The sequence below is a fragment of the Homo sapiens genome, chromosome 2 (assembly GCF_000001405.40).
Source record: "Homo sapiens chromosome 2, GRCh38.p14 Primary Assembly".
In the NCBI taxonomy this organism is placed as follows: Eukaryota; Metazoa; Chordata; class Mammalia; order Primates; family Hominidae; genus Homo; species Homo sapiens.
This window is the reverse complement of record NC_000002.12, coordinates 83,512,175-83,518,656: the sequence shown is the minus strand read 5'-3', so window position 1 is coordinate 83,518,656 and position 6,482 is coordinate 83,512,175. Positions and strand designations below refer to the sequence as shown.

Sequence of the window (6,482 nt, the reverse complement as noted above, 5' to 3'; positions counted from 1 at the left end):
ACGAGGTCGGGAGATCGAGACCACGGTGAAACCCCGTCTCTACTAAAAATACAAAAAATTAGCCGGGCGCGGTGGCGGGCGCCTGTAGTCCCAGCTACTCGGGAGGCTGAGGCAGGAGAATGGCGTGAACCCGGGAGGCGGAGCTTGCAGTGAGCCGAGATTGCGCCACTGCACTCCAGCCTGGGCAACAGAGCCAGACTCCGCCTCAAGAAAAAAAAAAAAAAGATTGTAGTCCCGAGCCCTGCCCCGCGGGGAGGCGGTTGAGGCCCGGCGAGAATTCGAGCGCTGCGCGGGCGGGCCAGCAGAGTTGGGGGACCCTGCGCACCCTCCGCAGCTGCTGGCCCGGGTGCTAAGCCCCTCACTGCCCAGGCAGGCGGGGCGCCAGCTGGCCGCTCTGAGTGCGGCGCCCGCCGAGCCTACGCCCACCCGGAACTCGCGCTGGCTCGCGAGCGCCGCGCGCTGCCCGGGTTCCCATCCGCGCCTCTCCCTCCACACCTCCCAGCAAGCAGAGGGAGCCGGCTCTGGCCTCCGCCAGCCCAGAGAGGCTTCCACAGTGCAGCGGCGGGCTGAAGGGCTCCTCAAGCGCGGCCAGAGTGGACGCCGAGGCCGAGGAGGCGCGGAGAGCGAGCGAGGGCTGCTAGCCCATGCAATGGACTCCATGAAGGTTCTTATGCTTTAATGCTTTATTTTTGTGTGGTTGCCTCCTGCCAGGAGGTGGCGCTTTCCAGAAAGCATCAGCTAGTATAGAGAGGGACTAGAGGTGGGCAGGGCTCTAGTACTCCGAAGATTATATGCCCTTTGTCTTCCGCTACCAGGGTGGATAAGGAAGGACCATTTGGCAAGGGCAGAGCTAGGCATGTCTGAGCTCAGACTCTCCTTAGGGGGGTCTTGCTGCAGCTGCTGTGGGGGATGGGGTGAGATTCCCAGGTCACTGGAGTTGTGTGCCTAGGAGGATTATGGCTGCCTTTGCTGAGTCATGCCGGTTATCAGGAAAGTAGGGGAAAGCCAGAAGTCACAGGCTTCACCCAGCTCCCATACAAAACGAAGGGCCGGTCTCACTCCCACCATGCCCCCACCAATAGCTCCGAGTCTGTTTCCAGGTCGAGGGTGTGATGGGCTTGAAAACTTGCCGCGGGTTACCCACCTCCAGCTGCCAGAGAAAAGGGCTTAGTTCTTCCCCTGCCTGTGGAGTCTGCACACCAGATTTGAGCCCTCCCTCGAGTTCTGGCCAGGAGACTTCTCACCCTGTTCAAAGTGTTACAAAGTTCAGCTAGAGATTTCCTTCTCCCTGTGAAGTATACTCCACGCTCCTTTGATCACCCACCTGATGGATCTCTGTGGTGCCAGGAAGGAATGTCCCTAGCAAGGGGACATAGCGAGCTCCCAGGGCGTTTCTGCTGCTTCCTCTACCCCTGCATTTCAGCTCTCAAAATTGGCTCAGCTCCAGGTAAGGTCGGAAACTTATCCGCAAACAGACCTTCAGCCTCCCCTGTGGGGCCGTGTGTTCAGGAGAGGAGGGTCTCCCTTTCCCACTTCCACAGTTGGGCACTCACTGTATTTGTGGTGTCTCCCGGGTCCTGCAGGAGCAGTCCACTTCCTTCAGAGGGTCTGTGGGTCGTCTCCTGAATTTCTGGTTCAAAGAGAGAGAGAGGATGTAATGGCGCACACTTGGAAGCTTATTCAGAAAAGGCGAATAGACCAAGCACAGGTGCAAGGGCCAACACACTCTTGTATTAAGATGATTGAAATTGTCTCTACACCACACAAATGTAAATCACCTTTAGTAATTTAAAGTCGTTTTAACCCAAATCCAAAATGTGTTTATGAGGAAGACAATGTGGTAAGTGGACTATCTGAAATATTTACCTTCCTTTTATTTGTGGTTCATGTGGAGCGGAGTTTCTCAATTTCAGCCCTAGTGACACTTTTTGGCCAGCTAATTCTTTGTTGTGGGTAGGGGGCGCTGTCCTATGCATGGTAGGGTGTTTAGCTGAGCATCTTTGGTCTCTTCTCACTTAATTCTAGTTAACACCCCCTCCCTACCTCCCACCCCAGTTGTGATCACTAAAATTGTCTACAGTCATTGCCAAATATCCTGTGGGAGAAAACTACCTCCAGGTTAAAACCATTAATGCAGAACATGATTAAAAAAAAACAAAAACAAAACTAAAATGGGATTTGGTCAGAAAGCCATGGAAATACATCCTAAATTTCCTAAATTTCAGCCAATTCCAAGTAGTTTTGTTCTGTCATCATTTACCACCTATGAAGGTGGTATTTTTTTTCATGAAATACCAGTTCAAAGTCCTCAGTTTTACTAAATAAATTATAGTAACAACCGTATGATAAAAGATGATTTAGTCATTAAAATGATCTCATAGAAGAACGTTTAATGTCATGAGGAAATATTTACAGAATCCTAACAAGTTGGGAGAAATTATAATGCACAATGGTATTGATGTCTTGTTCCAACACTCTGTCTCCTGGCAAGGAGGAGTGTCTACCATCCATGTTCAGAAAGGGAAATATTTTGTCAGCAGATTGGTTACTCCTCACTCAGAGATAGTACTAGGAGGACCTTAAAAAAAATCGTGGTTTTTTTTTTTGGCGTCATGTTGATCAGTAGAATAAGAGAGCCAATATAGACGTACAGCTTTGTAATACACAACTTCTGGATCAATACGCTGACCAAAGACAGTTGAGGAAGCAAAAGTTTAGAGTGCTCCAAAAATCCTTAAACATGTAGGCTTGACTATTGTTATTTACATAACAAGGAACACCTTTTCATCTTTAATTATCTCTCTTGATTTCATGTTGGTTAATTCCCAGTTCCTCCCCCAAAGTTCTATATAATTTTGCCTAAAAATTACTGTTATACGTATTCCTCTCTTTATGTTACTATTTTCTTAATCATGGGAAGGGTCATACTGTCTTAGGGAAAGGTCTACAGGGGCATTCTTGGAAGTAATACATTAATATTATTTTATTTTTAAACGTTTGTGAAATCATGTTGGGCTTCTAAATAAAACTATATTTAGGTTGTGTTACATCTTATTAATCCAAAGTCTGTTAAGGGGACTCAGGGTTTCCCTCAGCTTTTTAAATATTGTCCTGCTTCTTGGCAATAATATGTATTTCTAGATTATAAATATTTCTATATTTTTATATCTGAAATGCTATTTGAACTTGAACATCCAAATAGATTAGGTTGTTAGTTTGGGTTATTATTATTTTCCATTATAATAATGAGGGATCGATGATATTAATTAAATTTGTGTGTGTGTGTGTGTGTGTGTGTGTGTGTGTGTACGTGTACGTTTGCTCCAAAATTTTAATTTTAGCCTTCTGCTATACAAGTTAATTTTGGTTTCCATCACTGTCTATCTTTTTACATTATTTAAAATATATTATTTAATGTACAGGAAAAGTCATTTAAAAATAACAAATATAATGAAAATGTTTTAGAACTAAATAGAGTTGGTGGTTGTCCAACATCATGAATGTATTAAATGCCACTACATTTTCACTTTTAAAAAGTTAAGTTTATTTTATATGAATTCAATTTTAATAAAAAATACTATATTGAAGTTTTTTCTTAATGATATCTCTAGTGTGTATGTATATACATGTTTGAATATATAATGAAGACAATCACAATCAGTTCTCAAGAGGATTGCTACATGAAAGTATAGGCGTTAAATACCGTTGAGTCCAATGCTTTTGCTCTGGTGCTTCATAGGTGAAGAAAGGGAATGGGGAAATGTCAAACAGAACAGATTCACTTGTTTGTATATGCGTGCAAGGATTTTTTGCTGCTAACACGTTTGTCAATTACTAAGCTAAGCCAAACCCTCATTTAGCAAAAGGGCTATTAAGGCCAAGAGAAACATATGTTTTTACCAAGGTCACTTACCTTGTACCAAAGCCCAAACTAGAATTCTTATCTCTCAATTTCTAAGTAATGATCCTATTCCAAACACATTAGCACAGTGTCTAAATGTGTACTGAAACAAAGAATGGATCAAAGGTATTTGTTTGTGGAAGGATGTAAAGAACCTATTAGTGAAGAGCTTCACCTGTCAAATTTCACAGAAATACCCATCTAACCAGGAGACAGACCTATACATAGATGTTTCCTTGCCAAGGAAGAATTCCACACCTGCCTTTGGATTAACAAATGCAGTGAATTCAGCATTTTGGTCACACAACACTAGAGTAGCAGCAATGATCAAGGTAGAGGATGAGCACACAGAATGTTTTAGTAATATCTACTTCAAGAGTGTGATGCATATAATGTCACTCCAAATATGGCCAAAGGACTACAGTGCAAAGATTTTCAAAAGGCATAGTAAAGCAGGTGGGGAGTTCTGTTTCCAAGGTCAGTGAGCTGTTAGGCATTGATTATTGGCTTCATCCTTCTTAACTGTTTATGAAATACTTGTCAGTAAAATGTCGTTTGGTACGTTAAAATTATTTTTTCTTGCTTTTTGATTTTTTTTATTTATTGTGGTTATGTGCACCATAAAATTTGCCATTTTAACCATTTTTAAATGTACAATACAGTGGCATTAATCATATTTACAAAGTTTTGCAACTTTGACCACTGTCTACCCAAAATTTTTCATTACCCCAAACAGAAACTGTACCCATAAGGCAATATTATTTTATCCCCCATTTCTCTTGGATCCTAGTAACTTCTAATGTTTTTCCGTCTCTGTAAATTTGCCCGTTTGAGATATCGCATATATAAGTGGAATCACATATTTGTCCTTTTGTGTCTGGGCTTGGTTTATATATAAGACATTATCTTTCAGAGCTGTTTTAGGTTCACAGCAAAATTGAGAGGAAAGTACAGAGATATCCCATAATACTCCTTGTCCCCACACATGCATAGCCTCCCCCATTATCAACATCCACACTGGAGTGGTACATTTTTTGAAATTCAGCTTACATTGAAATCTCAAAATCGCCACAGTCCGTTGTTTACATTAGAATTCACTCTTGGTGGTGTACATTCTATCGGTTTGAACAATGTATAATGAATGAAATGATCCACCATTATAGTACCACACAGAATAGTTTTACTGCCCTAAAAATCATCTGTTCTCTGCCTGTTTGTCCCTCCCTCGCCTCTAACCTTTAGCAACTACCAATATTTTTACTCTCTTTGTATTTTTGCCTTTCCTGGAATGTAATATGATTGGAATCATACAGTATGTAGCCTTTTCAGATTGACTTATTTCACTTAGAAACATGCATTTAAGTTTCTGCCATGGTTTTATCTCTTTTTAGCACTGAATAATATTTCATTGTCTGGCTGTACCACAGTCTGTTTATCCTTTCACCTATTGAAGAACATCTTAGTTGCTTCCAAGTTTTGGCAATTATAAATGAAGCTGCTATAAGCAACCATGTGCAGGTTTTTGTGTAGATACAAGTTTTCAACTCCTTTGGGTAAATATCAAGAAAGCAAAAAAAAAAAAAGGGAAATAAACAGAAAAATAAGAAAAACCAAGAAAAAAGGATGAAAAAAGGGAGAGAAGAAAAAGGCAATAAGTGGAGGAAAGAAAAGAAAGGCAAAATGAAAGGAGAAGGAAAAAAATTGAGAGAGTAAAAGAAGAAAGAAAATGAGTAAAGTCTGCTGACACTTCCACAATGGCTTACACTAAAGAGACATGTATATAGTGCTCACATACATGAAAGACAGTGATTGCAATGTGACTGTTAAGCTTAGCTCTTGTAGCTAACTGTGATGGTTAATTTTATATGTTAACTTTACTCCTGCACAGGGTGCCGAGATTAAACATATTTCTCTCTGTGTTTATGAAGATGTTTTTGGAAGAAATTAGTATTAGAATCATGAACTCAGTAAAGCCGATTTCTCTCCCCAATGTGAGTGGACATTATAACATCTTTTGAGGCCCTGAATAGAACTAAAAGGCATAGCAAAGAGGGATTTATCCCTTTTTCTTTCTACCTGGCTTTGAGCTGGGATATTAGTCTTCTCCTGCCCTCGGACTGGGATTTACACCATTGGCTCACCTGCTTGTCAGGTCTTTGCACTTGGACTGAAATTAGAACCCTGGATCTTTTGCGTCTTCAGCTTGCAGATGGCAGATTGTGGGACTTCCTGACTTCCATAATTGTGTGAGCTGCTTCTTCATAGTAAATCTCCCTCCTCTTTCTGTCTTTGTCTCTGTATCTGTCTCTTGATAGATGATAGATAGATAGATAGATAGATAGATAGATAGATAGGATCTATAGATAGATAGATGATAGATTAACCAATCTCTTATTTTCATTAATAATGTGGTATAGTGTATTAGTCAGTGTTCTTGTGTTCTCCACTTACACACTATACAACAATATGAATATATCATTTTGTCTCTCCATCTCCATTTATTATGACACAACCCAAGAGTACATAGTTAAATAAAAAACTATGTATTATTCTGCATTTAGAGTATAGCCCTTTACTTTAC

The 6,482-nt window shown here is 41.1% G+C and overlaps 1 annotated feature.

The window, feature by feature from the left end:
• Positions 689-1,888: an enhancer, noted in NCBI's record as "MED14-independent group 3 enhancer chr2:83743893-83745092 (GRCh37/hg19 assembly coordinates)". NCBI's record gives its function as "activates an origin of replication core promoter dependent on BRD2, BRD4, P300/CBP and CDK7 cofactors, and independent of MED14, by STARR-seq in HCT116 cells {active_cell/tissue: HCT116}" and the evidence as "EXISTENCE:reporter gene assay evidence [ECO:0000049][PMID:35650434]".